General features: G+C 42.7%; 1 long non-coding RNA gene across 2 annotated transcripts; it reads left to right on the top strand.

Moving 5' to 3' along the window:
- Positions 1 to 18,889: 18,889 nt before the first annotated feature.
- LOC105374943 (uncharacterized) lies at positions 18,890 to 21,660 on the top strand. 2 transcript variants are annotated; one of them, NR_187830.1, is made up of 5 exons: positions 18,890 to 18,950; positions 19,415 to 19,547; positions 20,369 to 20,447; positions 20,880 to 20,930; positions 21,247 to 21,660. It is a non-coding gene; the product is annotated as an uncharacterized LOC105374943 (long non-coding RNA). The 2 variants fall into 2 exon arrangements; NR_187829.1 differs by having other exon boundaries at positions 20,846 to 20,930.
- Positions 21,661 to 22,704: the final 1,044 nt, after the last annotated feature.

The following is a 22,704-nucleotide window of genomic DNA, read 5'->3' as shown; positions in this document are numbered from 1 at the left end:
CCATTTGAGTACCTGCTTTCCAGCTTTCAGGATGTTATTACTATTTCCTTCTCTCTCATTATCTTTGTTTTTGTGGGTTTCTGCAAGTAAACAAACAAACAAAATGCTTTACTGTTATCTTAGTGTGGCTTAGGAAGACGCAAGAGTAAATGTGTACGTTCATCATCTTTGCCAGAAAGTCTCTTAGGTAGTTTGTACGATGCCATTTTAAAAATTGTTGTGTTCTCCTAGCCTCCGTTAGCAGAAGGAAGCCATCTAAAACAAGAACAGTGAAATGTTACTGTCACTTGATGGTGGTCGGTGAACTCTGGAGTACTCTTTTCAGTTCTGAGCACAAGCTTTAAAACTAGAAAAACTGGAATTGTTTTAGAGGATGGTGGCTAGAATATTAATGGAACAGTTGAAGGGACTGGGAAGGTTTTCAACAGAGAATGGAAATTTTCAGAAGTTGACCTCAAATATTCGAAAAGCTGATGTCCATTCATTCATTCATTTATCTGGTAAATCTTTACTGAGTTCCTGTCACGTGCTAGGAGGCATTCTTCTAGCATGAGAACACAGTGGTAAATGTGACCAAGTCCCAATTTTTGAAAAGTTTATATTCTAAGGAAGGAAAGAGTGATTTGCTCTGGATGGGCCAACTACAGAAATAGAACAAATGGGTAAAAGCCATAGAGAGACAAATTTCAAATGAATGCAAGAAAAAACTGTAAAGTGTTAGAGCAGTTGAAGTGTGATGAACAACCTGGTCAGCCCCTCAGAAGCTGATTAGAACTAGAATACTCTCAATGAAATGGTTCAGCAGAGAGGCTAAGAGCATGGACTGTGGGTGGCATTCCAACTCTACATCTTGCTTGAGGTTGACTGTGGCCAAATCACAACCTGTCGGGGCCTCCACTGTTTCAAGTGTAAACTGAGGATGATAGTAACATACCGTCTAAGGTGTCGTGAGGATTAAATCCAGTTAATCTGGATAAAGTGCTTAGAAGAATGTGAGGCACATAGTAAATGCTACGTAAGTATTACTAGTATTATTTCTTTTCTACTTTCATTTTTGTTTTTAACCTACTCATTATTTTGAAAAAAATTTTAAACCTACAACAAAGTTGCAAAATAATACAACGAACACCTATATTCTCTACCAAAATTCCCCATTTATTAACATTTGGGGCACTTGCTTTATCTCTCTGAGAGTGGTTTGTTTTTCATTTGTTTGTTTTTGGACCATTTCAGTATTAGTTCCAGCTATCATGACCCTTCACCTCTACATATCTCAAATACCATTTTCTGAGAATGAGGGTAGTCTCCCACATAACCACTGTAGAACTATCATACTCAGAAAATGTAATATTGATACAATCCTATTTTCTAATATATAGTCCATATTCACTCTTCCCCAATTGTCTCAAAACTGTTTTGTCCAACTTTTTAAAAAATCAAGATCTAATTAAGAATTCTGAATTTAATTGCATTTCATTGTCATGTCTCTTTACCCTCTTTAATCTAGAACCTCTCACCAAACTTTTTTGTCTTTTATGACATTGACATTTTTGAGAAGGCCAGGCCAATTTTTTTGCAAAATGTACCTCAGTTTGGACTTGTCTGATTCTTTCCTCTTGATTAGATTCAAATGGAATATTTTTGACAGAAATCATATATAACTGATGTGGTTCTCTCGGTGCATCACATCAAGAACCACCTGATGTCAACTTGTCCCATTACTGTGGAGGTAACTTTGATCATTTGCTTAAGGCGTTGCCTGCCACCGTCCCTTCCTATGATTAGGCAGTCACTGTACTGTGAGTGGTGTGATTAGCCAGAGACTGTGTGAATGTCCTATTTTCTGAAGAGTTTCTCACCCAGGGGTTTTAATTCCCATTGACGACTCTGTTATTATTTTGCAATGAGCATTGAACAGAGAAGATAACTTTAGTTCAGAGAGAAGATTGCCATATGTGCAGCAAGAGCATCCAGCAGGTAGTTCGCTCCAGTTAGTAGAAAAGAAAATGAGCTTTGCTATAAACTCACATCTCTCTGCCAATTACCAGTCTAATAACATTGGGTAAATTTCCTTAAGTTTAACCCTCTGCAAAATGGGAATCATCGTTTCAATCTCACAGCGTTTATTTGTGGATTGAATACAAAGAGAAGCTATCCTGAAAATGAGGATGATAATGATGGTGATGGATGTAGTATTACAGGAGGAAGATGATTAAATTTTCAGCTAACTTTGTGAAGGTTGGAGAAAGAAAGAAGGAAATGGACACACAAGACAGGATGTCGGAAAAGGGCCTTACTTTATAATTAATCACATAAGAGAAACAAAGAACATGAGGGAAGACACAATGATCAAATATTTGTTGAATGCTTCTGATGCACAAGGGGCTCTGGGATTGGTTTATTTCATCGATGAGTGATGTTGACTCTAAGGTTTATAACAGGTCAGGGAAATTGTAGCATTTTCTCCTGGGTATGGGCAAATTGGGAAAGGTGGAAGTAGGGAGAACAAAGACTAAAAGTTTTATCTTCGTCATATTTATCCTGAATTGGTGGTAACCCAGCCAGTTTGAATTGCGCTGCAGAGTGGTGGTAAGCATTAGTATTGGGCTGTCTGCATAAGAATCACCTGAGAAGCTTATAACAATAGTAAGTTTCTAAACTAAGCTGCCCCTCCAAAGATTCTGACTCGATATGCCCTGGGTGAGGTTTTGACCCACTGCAGGGATAGATAAAGTGTCACATGAACCAGAGAGGTCATCTCAGGGGAAGAAAGTTGATTTGTGTGTCAACAGATTATAGACAGTAATCGTATACTCAGGTGTGACAGCATTGGCCTGAGAATAAGGCACCAGGTCTTTTACCAATAGATTGAGGCAATTTGACTTTGACGTGTACATTGCTGACAGAGCTGACCTAGAAATAGCCAGAGAAGTCTGTAGCCAACTCCAAGATCTGTGCTGTGTGTGGCCACTAGCCACACGTGATTAACTAGAATTAAAAAAACAACAGTTGATGTACTTTTAGGATATACTTCCTTGAGTACTCAGGGTCACTAAAAAACTTCTGTTGTAGAAAATTTTAATGTAAACTGAACTGAGAGTTAATTTAAATCAACTAACAATCATATAAAAATTTAAAATATAGTGGCCAGGCATGGTGGCTCACACCTGTAATCCCAGCACTTTGGGAGGCCAAGACGGGCAGATCACTTGAGGTCAGGAGTTTGAGACCAGCCTGACCAACATGGTGAAACCCTGTCTCTACTAAAAATACAAAAATTAGCCGAGCATGGTGACATGCGCCTGTAATCCCAGCTACTCAGGAGGCTGAGGCAGGAGAATCACTTGAACCCGCGAGGCAGAGGTTGCAGTGAGCAGAGATCGTGCCACTACACTCCAGCCTGGGCAACAGAGTGAGACTCGTCTCAAAAAAAAAAAAAAAAAAAAAAAAAAAAAATATATATATATATATATATATAGAGAGAGAGAGAGAGAGAGAGAGAGAGAGAGAGATCCTCAGTTAAACTAGCCACATTTCAAATGCTCAATAACCACGTGTGACTAGTGGCTACTGTATAGGACAGTGCAGATATACATTTCTATCATTACAAAGGTTCTATTGGATGAGCAAATACTGATAACCTGCCAAAGGCCCACCCACAGTAGGAAATAATTGTTACTGGCCTCACTCTAGACACCAGGAAAGATTTGGCATTTAGTGTACTAAGGACTATTTTAGATTGTCTTATTGCCAACTAAAAAACAAAAACAAAAAAAGACTGTAAGAGGCTGTCATAAACTCCTGCAAGTCAGGAGACTTTTGATCAAGTGAAGAAACCACATCCATTTAAATCCATTCCCCGTTTTTGGCGTATGTGTTGGGGTGCAGAGAGACTGAACTGTTAAACCCTATGGCCCCAGCAGCAAGCACTGTAGAATATCCTGTCTCCAGGGATGGATTCTATGAGCCATTGTTGGATCTGACTCTCCGCCTGGCCTATGCCTTCCCATTCCCCAGGCAGTCTGACTGCCAAGATAGTTGGCAGTGCCCAGGTGTGATGCCAGGTAGCTGCGTTTCCTCTCTGTGTGTGCTCTGTTGGCCCTCTCTAAGTATAGTCTTCATCCATCTGCTCCTCTCGCCCTTCCATGCTGCAGAGTTAGGTGTTGTTTTGTCCCCTGGAGGAAGCCCATATTGTTCTATTCCTACCAGAGAAGAAACAAATGAGGAGCAACAAGGAAAAATATGGAGTGTAAGCATGTGTTTCCAGGTCATCAACATGCAGGCAAACGTGCATGAAAATGAGTGTTAATTTACTGCATGATTCAGTGTTTGCAAGACTATCAAGTCATTTCCCATAGGCTGCCCAACAGCCATCACATGGTAATGAATTTCTATTATAACCCATGTATGATGCTTGAACCGGCAAACTAACAATCAAAGAAAAGCACAAAATAATAACAATGGTGATAACAATAATCATAGTGTAATAATTAACTGGCAAAGGCATTTACAATTGGGGTCAATTGGGTAAGAGAATGTCGTGAGGCAGCTATAACAGGTCTGATTTTCTCATTTTAACATTTGTGGTTTCTGCTGCCTTTATTTTAAAAAAATAAAAATTTTGAACTGTGAAAATAGACCCAGCGCAACAATTAAAATAGAAACAAATTGTGTCGATAGCAGGTTGCACTTTTATTTTTGTTTTTCATCTTAGGTATTGGAGGTCCTTTAAAATTTCTTTGGACTGTTCTGCGGTAATTGTCAAACAAACCCAGAAAGACTCATTCTTGGGGATTTTGTATTCAGTATTGAATTATATTCACCATTACCATTTTCTCATTTAAACATATGCGTGCCTTTGGTTTTGCTTTAGTTCTTTGGAAAACTCACAGTGGACTTGTACTTTAAAATGGACCAAACCATTTGAAAGCAAGACCATTTTAAAGATAAATAGGCATTTAAAATTCACTTTATCCTTTTTCTCCTTGTTATTATTTTTCTCTTCTCACTTCTTTCTACTCTTGGTTATCATTAAGTATAATTTAATATCTAGCTGAAAGGAGAGTCGATCTGATTGTATCATTGTAAATGTTCATGTTGAATTTAAAATGTCCAGAAAAGAATTCTAAATAATGGAACTAGAGTTTAATGTTTAATTAGTTCTTTTTTCCTGAAAAGTTGTCTCAGTTCATGCTCATTGTCTTTAATGGAGTGTCGTTAGCTACCTTGTTTTGGGCAAATATCCTCTAGCAGGTTTCACCCCAGAACAAATATTTACAGTTCAGCCCTAAACTCTGGAAAATGGCTTTGTGGCTGGTGCTGGAGGTGGAGTGGGGCTTCAGTGGAAAAGCCTTTCCACTGTGTCTTGGCTTTAGAAACACAAATGGAGCCACCACAATAAATCATTAAAGACACTCAAACGGGTGTTTATTGGAAGAATGCTCACCTCGGGTAAGCTAAGGTAGAGGGTTGAGAGTCTATGGGGGCTGGGATCCCACATAAACTAATGGGCACACTTTCTACAGACAGAAGGGCCATGCTTTAGTCATAGTGGTAAATCTGTAGTGACAGACGTTTGTTCTATATTTGTGAATGACCTGATTTGGCATGCATGCAGCTCGTTCTACTGACAATAATGGTAACATGGTGTGAGGGAGAGAGAGAGAAGAAAGGAGAAGGAATAGGGTGGGGGAGCTTGGTGGAGGGAGGAGAGAAACCCAGGCCGACAGTAAGGGAGAAGGGGAAAGGAATTTTAAACTGTTGGAGATCCTGAGCATCTAAGGGTGACCTAAAGGCAAACTGCCTTTAGTATCTGATTATTTTAATTTGAGAGGAAGTTCATGCCTAATTGATTCAGAGAGGATCGCCTCTCCTTCCTCCATGCTCCCTCCCTCCCTCTCTCACTCCTCTCCCCTGCAATCTCTGGGGAAGGTATTCAGAACAGCTGTCAGACCATAATGGGATGCTTCTGCATCAAGGAATCCCTTGCAATTTGCAAAATTTGCCTGGCCCTCCATTCTTTGCTGCAGTCCTGCAACCCATGGGCACTTCAAGTAAGAAAGAAAGCGGCCTGAAGTGACGAAAAGAATGAAGCGCTGTCACTCACTGGAAGGGAAGTAGCATTATGCTCTCTGCCTCATCTCTTTCTCTTAAGCCATCTCCTTTTTAAAATCACAGATATAATCCATGGGAAGAGCAATTACAACCCCCACAGAGCCCTCCACAGAGAGAGAGGTTGGGGTGGTGGGCAGTGCATGGAATGAGGAGAGTACGGAAATTCTTTTTTTTTTGAGATGGAGTCTCGCTCTGTCACCCAGGCTGGAGTGCAGTGCTGCAATCTCAGCTCACTGCAACCTCTGCCTCAGCCTCCCGAGTAGCTGGGATTACAGGTGCCCGCCACCACGCCCAGCTAATTTTTTTTGAATTTTAATACAGACAGGCTTTCATCATGTTGGTCAGGCTGGTCTTAAACTCCTTACCTTCTGATCCACCCACCTCGGCCTCCCAAAGTGCTGGGATTACAAGCGTGAGCCACCACGCCCGGCCGGAGAGCACAGGAATTCTATGTCCTGGTCCTAACTTGCTGTGTGACTATGGACAAATTACATCCTTCTCTGAGCTTATTTCCTGGCCTGTAAAATGAAACAATTCAAAAGATGATCTCTAAGAAACCTTTTAAGGCTAAAATCACAGCTCTCATGGTAAGGACATAGATATGTAGGTAGGGAGCCCTAACGCCACTTCCTCAGCGAGGTCTCCCCTGGCCAAGCAATCCAAAGTATTGCTGCTCTCCCATCAGTCTCTAATACAGCACTTGCCACCATCTGAAACCATCTTCATGATTTCTTTCGAGTTGTTTTATTAACCTTCTTGCATGCAGAGAGGGACGCTGTCTGTCTTGTCCACCGCCTCTTCTTTGGTGAAGAATACATATATCATGAATGTTTGAGGAGTGTCAAATGAATACATCCAGCGATTTTTCTGTTAAGTTCTCTCCATATGTCTGAACAGAGAGACATATTCAGATTACTTGAGTGAGTGAGCTTTTATGAGGGCTATGTCAGCAAATAAGGGAGGAGGAAATAATCTCTGGAGCCCGCAACCAGGCCCTACTGAGAAATGAAACACAGTGCTTCACTATTTAGGATGCAGCTGAAGCCCTGTAACCTGACGGCTCCTCTGACGGCACAGTATCAACTCCGTCCACGATCCCCTCAGATCATGCACCCATCCCTCCCTACGCCATGTCTGCATTTTCATGAGACAGAGTTATGGTCTGACCTCTTCTGTTGCTCTGAGTTCTCCAGGGTAACCAACTCTCCGTGGGTGTCCTGAGGTCACACTCTTCCAGAAAGGATTTGATTGGCTTACTTAACCACTATCCAGTAGAGGAAACCCCTTTTGGGCAAAATTGGCTTTGAAATCAGCACATAGGGGTTCCTTACAGGGCAGCGTATCAGAAGCAACCGTGCAGCTTTTATCAGAATACACTTCCTGAAGACTGACTGATAGATAATGAATTAGAATCTCCATCTGGTGTTGAGTTGGACATCTGGTATTTTGAAGAGTCTCCCCAGGCAGTTCTTCTGTTGTGCGCCTCTGGGCCACTGCTACTGCCATCGCTGGCTGCCTTTGGGCCAGGTGCTCAGCCTTGGTCCACTCAACTTCAGGGAGGCAGAATCACTGGTCCAAAGCAAGGGAGTGAGAATGACACACTCAGAACCCCACAGGATTCTTTCACATACCCTGTCCATCTCTCCATCTACCTGTGCATTCTTCCCTCTACATATATATGTATATACACACACACACACACATATATATATATATATATATCATAGGTATATCTATATATATATATCATAGGTATATCTATATATATATATCTTCATGGTATATATATATATATATCTTCATAGGTATGATATTTAGATATTGAATCTGATTCTGGTATCTCTCTCCTTCTCCTTCAGAAAGACAAGGATTAAGACAAGTTAGAGTGGATTGGGTGCTGTGGGTCATGCCTGTAATCCCAATACTTTGGGAGGATTGCTTAAGCCTGGGAGTTTGAGACCAGCAAGAGCAACAAAGAAAGACCTCATCTCTGCAAAAAATAAAAATATTTAGCCAAGTGTGGTGGAGCACACCTGTGGTCCCAGCTACTTGGGAGGCTGAGACAGGAGGATGGCTTGAATTCAGGAGGTTGAGGCTGCAGTGAGCTAGGATTGCACCACTGCACTCCAACCTGGGTGACAGAGCAAGACCTTGTTTCTAAAACAAAAGACAAATTAGACAAATTAGAGTGGTTCTAGAAACTGGGAGGGTAAGTGTGTACATTCCATCAAGGGCTATAGAAAATAGAGCATACAGGCCTGGATTTCATTTTAGGATTATTAATAGAATTCAGCTTCTTGAAGTAATAATCCTGTCTACAGCCATACCACCCTGAATGCCCCCGATCTCGTCTGAAGTAATAATCCTTTATTCTGTAGTCATTTTCATCCACAGTTCCTCCAAGGCAGGAGAACCTAGAAGGAATTTATTTGCTGAGCCACGGGAGGAGCAGCCCACTGAATTACTTATGAAATATAATGTCGCTCATTTCCTTTACCAAAAACAAAACAAAACAAAACAAAGATGAAGGAGGTGGAACAGAAGAAAAAGGAGGAGGAGGAATTGGAGAGGAAAACAATATCAAACATGGGTCAGTGTCCACGGCTGACATCAGGAGGCTCTTGGGAAAGAATGAGTGAGCACAGAATGAGGAAGGCTGGGCAGTAATTTATCCAGCATTATGTGTACTGACCTCTAATTTGTATATTATATAAAAGAAATAGAAGATGCAGCCCCTGCCTTCACTGAGCTGACAGTCCAATAGGGAGGATGCATGGAAAGGATCTACAATAGTAAATTAGATAATGCAAAAATGAGGCAAGCCTACTGTGTGATCTCATTAGATGCTAGTTTCCTTTCATCTGAAACAAAAAAGTGAATTAAACAATAGCAATGTGTGTCAAACTTACCTAATCTCTATTGCAACTTCTCTGTCCCTTACCAACCTCTACTTGGTTTTCTAGGATCCTATGCAACCGAGGTGGCCGTACAACACAGAAGTCTGCTGGTATTGCCTCTAACCCTTTGTAATGGGCTGAATAGTGTCCCCAAATAATTCATGTTCACCTATACCTGTGACATTATTTGGCAATAGGGTCTTTGTAAATGTAATCAAGTTAAAATGAGGTCCTACTGTACCGGGACAGGCCATGAATCCAATAGAACTGGTATCCTTATAAGAAGAGGGAAATTTGGAGATGGAGTCACACAGACATACAGGTTAGAAGGCCATTTGAAGCAAAGATTGGGGAGTTGCACCTACAAGCCGAGGAACACCAGGGATTGCTGGCCCTACAGAAGCTAGAAGGGGCAGGGAAGGACTCCCCCGTAGGGCCTTCAGAGAAAGCCTGGCCCTGCCCATGCCTTGATGTTAGGCTTCCAACCTCCAGAACTGTGAGAGAACAATCTCTGTTGTTTAAGCCACCCAGAGTGCGGTACTTTGTTAGGGGAGCTTTAGGAAACAAATTCAACCTCCTTCCTTTCTTCTTCATTGAATGAGGATGGGATGCTGAGAGGAACAGCAGACATCTTATGAGTTTGAGGGCAGATGCTGTACCTAAGTAAAGACAGTAGACCAGAAAGACAAGAAAAGCTGGCTTCTTTGTGGCAAGTTCCCTAGATTAGAGATAAGTCAATCTCTACATGTTTCAGTTCTTGCCACCGAGATTTTCTGTGACAGATGACACATTCCTGACTAATGCCCTATGGTCAAGTAGAAATAACTAGAGTTACCTGACTTCATGTCTCAGCCATGCTGTTATGTAGATGGGTGGCCCTGGACAAGTCATTAAAACTTCTTGGGCAAGGTGCGGTGGTTCACACCTGTAATCTCAGCACTTTGGGAGGCCGAGGCAGGTGGATCACGAGGTCAGGAGATCCAGACCATCCTGGCTAACATGGTGAAACCCCATCTCTACTAAAAATACAAAAAATTAGCCAGGCGTGGTGGCGGGTGCCTGTAGTTCCAGCTACTGGGGAGGCTGAGGCAGGAGAATGGCGTGAACCGGGGAGGCGGAGCTTGCAGTGAGCCAAGATCTCACCACTGCACTCCAGCCTGGGTGACAGAGCGAGACTCCGTCACAACAACAACAACAACAACAACAACTTCTGAACATTTTATTCCCCTTTAAAATGGAAACAATCATATCTACCCGAGTTTAAGTAAGATATTTTATGGGAAAGCCAGATGTCATCAATGGGGCAGGAGAAACTAATACACATTATCAGGGCTGTCAGATCCCAAAGGACCTGAATGCTGATATACCTGACATATAAAGATCATTTTCTCCATCTTTATCCTTACTGGAGGAGCTCCCAGTTTTTGTTTGTTTGTTTGTTTGTTTTTTAAGCAGGAAGCAGTTCTCAGCAGCCAGCCCTGGTAAAGGTACTTCATAAAATATAAAGGACCATACCAACACTGGGGGATATTCAAGTGCAAATTAAATAGGTCCATCCCACAACTTATATGAAGGGCCCAAAACGTTCTCATCCAACAAAAGAAAACAGAGGTGATTTTTTCTCAAGTTCATTCTGGGGTAGTTTCACCCCCATAAGCTTCCCAAACCATCCTTTTCTTGACCTGGTTATGTCATCCCCATCACAAGACCCTTCCTTTGGTTAGGAGCAAACAGAAGACATGAGCTAGTGGCCTGTGGAGTCAACTCTTCCTAGTCAGAAGGCAGCAGAATGACCAAGATGGAAACCTGTTCCACAGGTCCTTGCCCCCTGATGTAACTGAGTAGCAAACTTCAGAGTAGACCCCAAACACACACCACAGCTCCCTGGGGAGGCTGAGGGGACATCTGAACGTTCCCAGCAAGGCACATTGAACAGAGTACATCTTTTACCCACTTCCCACTTGGTAGGTGGGTCTGTCGTTGAGCGAGCCCAATTTTCCAAAAGGCTGGAGCCGCCCAGTGTTCAGCACCTCCAGACTCAGGGCTATGCTTGGCCTAGTGTCCCAGCTCCATTCATCTCTTGTCCCTCTCAGAATTCAATTCAGATCACCTTTTTGCAGACTGAATCTAAGCCCAGGCAGGCCCTGGTCTGTCCTTCCTTTTCCTCCCGCCTGTCCTCACCCTCTCACCACTTTAGAGCTAAGTGAATACAGTTTTCCAAATATAGTTTTGCAGCCGGTATGCTAGGCCTCCTAATGAGCCATGATAATTGCTTCTGCTATTTTCCAAAATGAAAATCAACCTCTGAAGAGCAGCTGGTTTGTTGTAATGTTCTCCTCCCTCCGGTTACATTCCACATTCCTGCAAGTCAGTCAAATCCCAGCCTTGACTGCCCCATCCATGAGCAGGGCCTGTGGGAGAGGGCAGGAGGAATGTGCTGATGGTGAGGAAACGGGCCTTGCCACTTGAATAGGCGAGCTATTGTGTCCCTTTTATATTTAAGGGACTAGGGAAAGAGAAAGAGTAGGGGGAAGATCTGGATTTGTTTTTGAATTCTAACATGTCTTATTATGTGTTGTGCTTATCAATGTATCTGAAAAGGTAACCAAGTTTTTAGATGACAGAGCAAAGATGGTTCCACTCTCCTTTTTTCAAGAATCGCTCCAAAACAATAAAGAGAATGAGAAACAATAGTGAAACCCATATTCTATAAGGGCAGGAGACATCTGTAATCTGGAACTGCAATGGATGAAGATGAGAAACCGATGGAGGAATGGGAGCCACTTATTAGATCTCTGGAAAGTCAAACCCAAGAGCCAGGAGGTGATACCATTGTGAATCAGGCTGACTTCCCACTGCGGAAAACAGGGAAGTCTGGAGAGTTGACAGATCCACATACTGCATTGATCAGAAGTGAACATGGAACTGAAAACAGCCCTGTAGTAGAAAGATAATAACACCAGGTACCATTTGTGGTGCACCTTTTCTTCCTCTTTACAAACATTCTCTCATGCAATCCTCATGACAACAGCAAAAGGTATTATTTCCCTCCTTTTATGGATGCAAAATCTAAGGCTCAGAGGGAAAAAGTCTTTTGTCCCAGATTGCAAAGAGAGAATAAGACACTGCATCAATGTATGTATCCTTAATTCCAAAGCCCTACCACTAGACCCCACCACCTCTCTGGGTAAAACCGAGCCATGAGTGCCCAGTGTACCCATGCTGAATAGGTGGCCAGGGTGACATATGCCTGGCAATGGTGATGGCAGGGACTGGGTAGGGCTCATGCTGCCTAGGCTCTTGCTTCACTCCTTGGCACAGCCATTTTGCCTAAGCTGCTCTATTGTTTTGAAAATGCTACAGAAACAAAGTCTAACCACCTCCCCCTTGTCATCTGCAACAGGATCTGATCTGGTGGGGCACTCTTGCTGGGATGGGGTACACCTAGTCCTAGAAGGTGGGTTCTTTCAGTTACTAAGAGTCCACCAAACACTCTGGCCTGTATCCTGGGAGGGAGGATGGATATCAAGGAAACAGCTCATCCCTTCTTACCCTCTCCTGTTTACTACTGCCCTGTTACCTGCCCTGCACCAACCAGAGTAGGCTGCAGATCCCACTGTTGCTTTTTCCCCCATTGGATCCACTGGTCACCCAAAGTGCAAAAGTCTGGGTGAACCCAGATCATGAAGAAACAAAGCGCACAGTGTCAAAACTGCAAAATAAAGTCTTCAGTGTCGATTCTCTAGTTTGTTCGTGGTGCAAAAATCTATCATCAGACACTTCATGAGAATCAGTATAAAAGTATTCACTCTGTTAGGCATTTTGGAGGTGAAACAGACCAAGGGCATGGTGTCTGCCCTCAAGAATCCATAATCAGTCAGAGAGCTGCAGCATCAGCCCCTGAAAAGAGAAGGAAAGCTATCAGGCTGTGTGTGGTTAAGAGCTTGTGGAGAGCTGTTCCGAGTTCTGAAGTTTTCCTCGTGGACTGTTTCTCTGGCTTTCCCATTAAATTGTGAATGCTTTGAAGGGAGGAGTTCTTGTTTTTGCTTTTCGTTTTTGTATTTCCAGTGCATGGCAGTGTGTGGGGCACATATCAGCTGCTGAGTGAACATTTGTCAAATGAATGAATTAATTAATCAGTCCATCAATCAATCAGTATGTCCAGAGGAAGGAGTTCTGCAGAGTGCAGAGAGCTGGAGTGGGTAGGGAATGCATTCATGAAAAGATGGGACCACCGCCAGGTAAGCAGGTATTATCCAACAACTCCGTAAAACCAATGGAAACTTCCAAAGGACAAGACTCCTAGCATGGAAATCAGACTTGTCGTAACAGATTTTGGTGAGACTGAAGGAGACAAGCAGGGGTGACACCAAGGCAAGCCCTTTCCAAAATGTAAGTACAAAGGCAGCCATGAATAAAAGAAATACCTAGAAACAGTTATCTACTTGGCTGTAAGTATTGCCACTGCATCTAAATTCCCATGTCGTGAAGACAGGGAAACTTGTATCATACATTTATCTTTACTCTAGAGAGTCAGTCTAATTATTATTGGCCTTAATTCATACCCCAGGCAGCTGCAACAGTCTTTGCCTGCCATCAAATAGTGTTTCAAAAGGTGTGAAATTCTTTTCTGGCATTGAATAACATCAGAGCCATGGATTCTATTTACTACTTACACTGAGATACCCAGCAAACAGGGCCAAAACAACAACAGCGACAAAAGAAAACAACTTTGAGAAACCAAATTCTGCACATGTTACTGACAGGTAAATTGAACTGCTGGTTATTCCCTCATTCAATATTTATGAGCATTCACCAAACAGGCACTGGCCATGCAGCAGACAGAGCATGGAGATTCAGTGGAGAATAAACACACAGGGTTTCTGCTCCATGGACTTCAGGTTCAGGTATCTGTACAGGCACTGCGATTTCACTAGCTTTTAGTACTTCTAAGACAGGGATCAGCAAAGTACATCCCACAGGTCAAATTCAGCTCATCCCCTGTTTTTTACAGTCTTTGCACTAAGAATGTTCTCTGTACTTTTAAATAGTTGAAGAGAGTCAAAAGGATAATATTTTGTGACATAGAATATTATATGAAATTTACGTTTGAGTGGCCATAATCCAAGTTTTACTGGAACACGGTGAAGCTTATTTGTTTATGTATCATCTACAATGGCCTTCATGCTACAACAGCGGAGTAATTGTGGTAGGTTCTATATGTGGGGCCCACAAAACTGAACTTTTAATTTCAAAAAAATAGTTTGCTCACCCTGTTTTAGGCTAAATTTTCTCAAAATACACTCCATAAAACATGACTTCTGAGGAACATTCAGAGTGTTAGATATTTTTAGAGTTTCATTGTCAATATATTTTAAAACAATGTGTTATAGAAAGTTTCAAAAGCTTCCTCCTTACTCAGTATCTCTCTAATTTTGAGCATGCCAAAAAACATGTAAGATAGTGCTATAGGTTGTGGGGTTTCCCAGACCTGCTTGTATATTTGTTTATTTTCAGGAAACATAGCACCACTCTTTGGGAAATGTTGACCTCGGTAGATTTCTTGGTCATAGGTTTTATTTGTATTATTTCTAAAACCAGTTGCCAAAAATCCACAGCAGTATCATGGAATAGGATAGTGTTCTACTTAGAACTGAATCTGAAGCCTCTTGCTCCCAAGCATAGTTTGATTGTTCTCAAGGTTTCCAGTTTGATTCCAGCCAAAGACTTAGGTATTTGGTATCTATCTATCTACCATACTTGAAGAGCTTCCATATGCACCCTAAAATGAAATTGTGTTAGAAGATTCCCATCCTCCATGTGTAGGGTATGCTAAGAATGGGCGGTTCCTGATCTATACGAGACTACACCATAGCCAGGCATCGCTTCAGCTCTGTGTGATGGAGGGCCCAGGATGAGCCCAGGTCGGGTCAGCATGCTGGGACACTCTAGAAAACAGAAGTTATATTGTAGAGGAAACTGAGAAGCCTCTTGGGAGAGCATTAGGGGAGAAACGAACCAGTGACAATGAATCTGACTCAGTAAAATGGTCATAATTATTCTCTGGGAGGGGCAGTCCTAAGAATAGTGTGGTCTCAGTCACTCAGATGTATCTTCTGGCCCAGTACCCGCTGGCCACTTGTTTGAGTCCTGTGAGGAGAAGGCAATTGAGGAAGGAGGTTGTAAATAAAAACTAAAAGAGCTCTTTCTTTAAACTCTTAAAATCTTGTGGGTTTAGTGACACTGTTTCTAAGAAGGATGCATTCTTCCCACCGCATTGCAAGAATTTGGTTTGGAAAGTACTCATGGCACTGGGGGTGCTGCTGCTCAGATAGCCAAGGTCGCATAGCAGCGCTGCCTGCTGGGGGCGCTGTTTGCAATGGAGCAGCCGCACCGCACCACCTGCTCAGCAGGGCAGTGAGGGCAGGAAACCGTCAATCAGCAAGGGGCGACCTGGCCAGGCTGATCACCCAGCGACTCCAAGCCGGAAGAGCAGCAGTTGAGACAGCAGTCAGCAGGAGCAGAGATTTTGGTATCCAGTGGGACAGACAGTGGGGCAAGGGGAGCACCAGGGGACAAGCAACAGTATCTGCCAAGCCCACACTTATTAATGAGCACAAGAGAAACCATCTACTGTCCCGGGGTTGGGGGGTGGTCCCAGAATCCTTGGGGGTAGTATGCATGGGGTTGCCATCCAGCCTTATGCTTGTGACTTTGTGACTCAGAGCTAGTGATATCTGATCTCATTCCTAGTCACAGATTGAAGGAGCTTGGGGAGATTTGGATTTCTTCTATATACTCATATAAACACAAATAAACTCACACGCTTGCATGTATATCCTATCCAAGATATGTGCTATGAATGTAAATGTTCACACATACAAAAGCTGTGCTTGTATATGAAATCATAAATTGTGAAAACGAGGTGGGGGTGGGTGGGAGTTGGGTGAGGGGTGTCTAAGCGGGTGAATCTTAGGGTCTCACCATTCCTGCTTCTTCTCTGCTTTGTGTGTTATGTGCTTCTACATAAGATTTCTTTTAAGAAAGATTTTCATGGCTAAAAAACAGTTTTGAAAACTCCCTCAATATAATCCAACCCTATCATTTTATAAATGAGGAAATGAGTACACAGACAGGTTCAATGATTTGCCTGTGGTCATGAAGACAAAAGTAATGAATTAAGGGTTCAAGTCCAGTGTTTTTTTGTTTCACTTTGTTTTCCTATTACAGCCTGCAGAGGAAGAAAGAATATACACTAAAACAAAAAGCCGAAATATATTACAGAACTCCGTCTGTTTCTCGGTTTTAATGGTTGGGGGTTTGAGAATTGGCTTATTAGATCTTTTAATTTTTCTAGCTATGATTTTATAGCAAAAGAAATATTAGCTATGGGGGCAATAATGTGGATTAAATTATCAGTTTTGTATCAAATGACCACATTTAATACAATTTAAAATTTAACTTTAAAGTTGAATTTAGACTGTACCAGACATATTGTACTAATCAGAAATGTATAACAAAATGAATCATTGTGCTTTAGAAAGGGACTTGAAAAACATGGACCTCGTTTTCTAAGCACAGTAGGAAACAAAAATGATGACAAGAAAGTTTGAGAAGAAATTCACAAGGAAATGTTGAGAGAGTAGAATTACTCACCCTGGAGAAGAGAAGGCAAAAAAGGTGAATTTTTTTTCCAGGAATCTAAAATGTCTCTTAACAGAGATGTGCTACATTTCTCATTTCCAAGGAAGACAGAGTAAGAATAGACCTTTACAAAGCACCATGAGAGATTTGTGTGGTAGAGTCAGTAGAACGGTGATATGGACCTTGGTGGTCCTCTAGATCATGCAGTTATAAGGACTAGAGATAGCGCTTGTTAAGTGCCCAGGACAGGGAGAAATGGTAGCTATTGTTATAAACTCAGAAGACTCACAGTCTCTGTTATTTCAGAAAACATCAAGCATCACCAGATGGTGGAGGCTGAAGGCAATTCCCCAGGGAGTCATAGTGGGTAGGGAGGAGAAGGCTGGGTGTCACTTTGGATAGGTGTATTGAACGGTCACTTAGATTGCACCCACACCTCAGGGCTGTTACCTAGGTTTGGGTAGAGTGCTCTTCTATGCCCTGCCCCTGCCTCTGCCTCTTCTGCTATCCAAATAGAGATTCCCAGCTGCCTGCTGTTCCCGTGCCAGAAGTCTATGGATGGGCAGTGGAAATAAGGCAGGCCATTTAAAAAAAAAAACTTTAGGTGCATCTGATGTCCTAATTTCTTAATATGCTGCAATAAACATCTGAAACAGTATAAAATTCTGGACACAGATGGTTATCACAAATACCACCCCCTAGGTCACCATTTTTCTTCATCATCAGAGAAGGAATCTGTAGCTGGTGGCTATGGGACACACGGCAGCTCGAAAGTGGAGGCGGGCACATCATCCCAGAGGGGGCTGTGATAGGGACATACTCACGTGAAAGGTGATGGAGATGGTGCACACAGGAATTCCTAGCCTACTTGTGTAGGGAAAACTTTCTCTAACCGTGATTTTCCTCTGCACTCACACCACTACAATCATCAGCACAGAAGACTTCCGTGACCAGATGCATGGGTTTTTTTCCCCCACAAACAAAGCAGCAGACACCAGCTGTGTGTCCTCTAATTCAGTTCTGACACCATCTACCAGGAGATGCTGTAAGATCCCACAGATTGAGGGCTCAGTCCCCAAAACTGCCCCCCAAAAAGGCGCAAGTGTGGCCCTCTCTGGTACTTCTGATGGACTGGCTTCAGGTTGGGGTTCCCATGACCCCCTTTTTGGATTTGATTAATTTGCTGGAGTGGCTCAAAGGCCCTAGAAACACTATTACATCTACCGGTCCATTATAGAAGAGAGAGCAAAAGAAATGGATGAGGAGATGCATAGGGCAAGGCATGGGAGAAGGGGGGCGGAGCTTCCATGCCCTCCCTGGGACGCCACCCTCCAGGAACCTTCCCGTGTTCAGCTCTCCAGAAGTTCCCCGAAACCTGTCCTCTTGGATTTTTCTGGAAGCTTCATGAAGTCACCATTCCTTTCCCTAGGATATAAGGTGAGACCCTCTCATGGAAGGGTCTTAAGACCCACAGTCAGAAAGGTGGGGGAACATAGCATGAAAGGAGGGCAGGAGGTTAGAGGGCTGCCCCTGAGGCCTAACCCCACCCAACATTACAACAAAAGACTGGAACAAGGGCTATGGGAGTTACGAGCCAGGAACTGTGGATGAAAAGCAATATGTGTCCTAACACGACACTAACGCTTAGTACCTCGGCAGTGTACACAACAGGAGAACAGGACACTATCAACTGTTCACTTGTCGGTCTTCCAAGCTCTGTTTTCCTCCAAGTTTAGATGCAAAGTTCCAGTTCTGCCCTATATTCCAATTCTGCAAAGAATCAAGGATCAAAAGAGCTGCACAGAATCTTTTTTGAGCAGACAGAAAGGGGAAGAGACTCTGGGTTATTTTAAAGTATGCCCCTGGCTGACAGACAAAATGGACTCCCTGTGGCTAACTGAGGTGCTCAGGATTCAAACAGAACCAGGCAGCCATAGCTGGGTGAGGGAGTGGTCATGTACTCTGTGAGCTCACAAAGATGTAAAAGTGTCACCGGACCTCCTTTCTACAATCAAGCCAAGCCAATTTCTGTTGTCAGTGCCAAGATAAACTGCAATCAGAACTATGCCCCAACACACACACACACACACACACGCACACACACACACGCCATTTGAAAGAAACATCTGACAAGAGACTTCTGGGTTTGGGCTTGGAAACCGCCCAGTCAGGGCTCCACTGTTTGGATCAATCAGAACTGAACAAGTTTAAATCTGCCATTTGCATGAATAAGCCAGATCAAGAACCACGGCAAGAACTTTCCCTATTTAAGCCAGACCCTCCCTTTGTTCCTTGGTGAGCACACTTTCACTTATGATGAAGGCTGTGCCTCCCCAGTCTGCAGATCGTTTTTTATAGAAAATAAAACTCTCCCTTTTTCGTCCATAGAGCTCATGGTCTTCTAATAACAGTTATTACTGATTTTTTTTTTTCTGTCACACATGAAAAGCCATAGTACAATGCCTGGTCCCTGGTGAGGAAAATGATCGATAAATAATTCATTAATATTAGCTGGTAGTACACATAGACTCAAGCTGTCACATCTCCCCAGCGATACCAGACATCAGTATTATCATTACTGAAATGCTTTCCACCGACACAGATATTCTCTGGTCTTCCTTCTTTCTTCCTCTCCTCCTCTTTCAACTTCCCTCCTTCCTTCCTCCTTTTTAACTACTTGCCACCTTCAAGGTTATTCAAGGATCAAGATGTTAGAGGAGGGTCAGGTTGTCATAGCGTGTCTGTCTAATTCTCTCCAGGAGTGGTCACAAATAGAGCCTTCCAAATGTGAGGGAGGACAATGGTAACATGAATTGACTGAGTACATATCAAGTCTTACACTGTATACTTCACATGCACTAACTCTCCTACTCTTCACAACAAGCATGCAAGGTATGTCTACAATTATAATGGAGTTGCACACATTTGGCTTATTCAACCTAGACAAAATCAACTGTGCATACTTGACCAAGAGAGAGGGATGGAGGAAGAGGACCTAGAGGATGAATTTAATATAATTTGCACAAGTGATTTTGCTCCCAATTCCACTCAGTGAACTTAGACCCAAAGAATGCACAAGATGTGAGTTCCCTCAAACTATCTCTGTTCCCGGGATGCTTCCCATGGTGTGAACATGTCACAACACCAGAATGATTCTGATGATTCAATTTACAATCTAATTTTTTTTCATCCAAAATGGCCTGTAAACTGAGGCCAAGAATTTGATCTGTTTCACTGTGGAAGAAAAGCTGGCCGTGTATACCCACTGGGAGATGATTTAGGAGAGAAACTTTATAAACATTTTGAAGAATTATCAGGAATAAATTTTGTCTGGGCATGATAACTCAGGCCTGTAATCCCAGCACTTTGGAGGGTCAAGGAGGGCAGATTGCTTGAGCTCAGGAGTTCAAGACCAGCCTGGCCAGCATGGCAAAACCCCATCTCCACAAAAAATATAAAAATTAGCCAGGTGTGGTGGCTCACGCATGTAGTCCCAGCTACTTGGGAGGTTAAGGTGGGAGGATTGCTTAAGCCCAGGAGACGGAGGTTGCAGTGAGCCAAGATCATGCCACTGCACTGCAGCCTAGGTGATAGAACAAGACCTTGTCTCAAAAAGAAAAAAAAAAAAAGAATAAATTTTGACACATGATATATCTTGCCTCATGTTTAGTTTTGTCTCATAGATGACACTTCATTTTATCTCCATTTTACAGGTGGGAAAATAGAGGCTGAGAGAAATTGAGTAACTTGCCTCAAGCCATATATTCGGCACCGAGATGTGATCTGAGCCAGGTGAGTCTGGCTCCAAAGCACATGCTCCTTCTGCTCAAGTCCAGTTCAGCTCTCTCTTTAAGTCCAGTTTCAGACGCTCACCTTCCTCTTGGCCATCTCCTGGCTGTCTGCATCATCTTGCTTTCCTTTCTCTTCCAAGGCCTCTGCTCAGGGCTATCTTCACAGTCATCAGGGGCCAGGATGGACATTGAGCCAGCTCATACTGGGCCAGCCATACTGGGCCTTCATCTGTTGCAGGCTGTCATCTGTCCTAATGGCCACACTGCCTTTCCAGTTGTTGGGATATGTATCCTAGTGCCCAAGCATTATTCCTTGTCACCCTGATACAATAGTAAAGAGAGATTTATATAAAACAAAAGTAGCATTCTAAGTAATTTTAGAATGGCTTTGCCACTTAGGTCATGGATGGTCACTGACATCTTCATTTTCCAGAGCCAACAACTGAGGTCCAAACAGCGTGCCTTGCGCAAGGCCACACAAGAGGTAAGTTGGGACCTGAACACACCTGATTCTATATCATTTCATGCTCATGTTTGTGCCCTGCCCAGGAATCCCCAAACCCACCTGCTTCAGTCTTTGCTGAGAATTTACAGTGACAATTTATGGGACTCTCTTTAGGAGAATGACAAGTTGCAGGTGAACTCTTGGAACAAATGTGGATTGTCTTGTCTTCATTTGGAATGTATGACAAACTCATAGGGCCATGTCAGAATGCAGAGTGACTGGGGGCTTCAGGACCCCGTGGGGATGTGGGGGGCATTGTGTGTCTGCCTTGTTTTGATCCATTCTGCTGCTCCAGATAATGGCATTGGCTGTACCAGTGGCCCAGATCCTTCACCTGCAGAAGAGCTTCCCAGAGAGGAGCAAGCCTTCCTGCCGTCACCTCTGGTGTCATCCTATAGGACATTAAAACCAACTCAAGATTGTGTTGAAAACTGTTTTCCTTTTGAGGATGCTAATAAGAACAAGATCATATCAACGGGTATGGATCATGGCAGGATTTTCCTTCAGCTGAGTCTTTTAATGAGCCGTTTCATAATGAGGGCTGAATCTACACACAGTATCTACATGCTAGCCAAGGTTTAAAGACTTTTATAATATTTTCCTCCATTCTCACCCCCTTCGAAGCCCTGGCTTTAATTCTTTTAAACAGTAACATTCATTGGCTGTTAAGTAAAACAGGAGAGAACACAATAAATTTATGATATTTTGAGAAGCTATGCCAGTTCTCAAGCATTCAGAGAAACAAGCTTGGCTTTTATGAGGTAATTATGATTTAGTGTTTTCTCTCGCCCTGTTGAGTCTGTGGGCTGCCTGTAAAATGGATCTGGAATGAATGTCAAAGTCAGGATTTACAGTCAAACATTTTCAACATATAAAGTACAGGAGAAGTTTATTGTTTTGTTGGGGTTTTTTTTTTTCTAAGCAATATTTCCTTCTGCATTTGTGTGCTGTTAGGTTTTGTAGGATTTCTCCCCTCCCATTTGAAATGGTATCTATAAATTACTTTTCCTGATAAGGCTGCAGTATCATCAAAAAGTGATGGTCTTTGCAAGCAATCGTGACAAAGCATGTCAATTTAAATCATTTCTTTCTCTTCCTCTCACTCTTTTTTCCTCTTACCTTCAACAGGAAACTATCATTTCAATGTTTCCACCCTTTCAGAAATGAGCAGGAATTGACTAAGCTTGATGAGTTTGAGGTATAAGAGATCTTCATGCTCCTTCCTTCTACCATCTTTTTCCCCTGTTCTCTCTTTGAAATAAAAACTGTGTTTGGATGTTACCTTCAGGGAGAGCAGACTCTGGGATCATCAGGCTCCAAGGCTTTCCGCCCTTACTCTCCCGTTAACATGCTGGGATTGACACCACCTTTGCAAAAATTATGACGGTGAGAAAAATCTGACATAGGAAAATTATGTCAGTTAAAGAGATCTGACCTGACCAACTCCATCTTGCTCATAACCTCCAAGCTGCCCTTGTTCATTTTGGGGCATAGGCTGAACTAACTTTGGGAAGAATTTCATTTATAGCTTAACTTTGAAACAACTATGATAACAGCCCTTTCCCTGAAATGAACCCCCTCTTTGCTTGGGGAACAGACCATTTTTGTAAAACCAACAAATTTGCCACAAGATTAGAAATTATGGCTCAGGAGTCATGCAGCCAGAGGCCACAAGATTCCTAACCTCCCCAGGCACTCTTATGAATAACATCACTATTGTAAAACCTAAGATTGGTGTTCAAGATATTTTTCA

Source organism: Homo sapiens, chromosome 6 (genome assembly GCF_000001405.40).
Source record: "Homo sapiens chromosome 6, GRCh38.p14 Primary Assembly".
Taxonomy (NCBI): domain Eukaryota; kingdom Metazoa; phylum Chordata; class Mammalia; order Primates; family Hominidae; genus Homo; species Homo sapiens.
The sequence above is the reverse complement of the archived record's forward strand: the minus strand, read 5'-3'. Positions and strand labels throughout refer to the sequence as shown.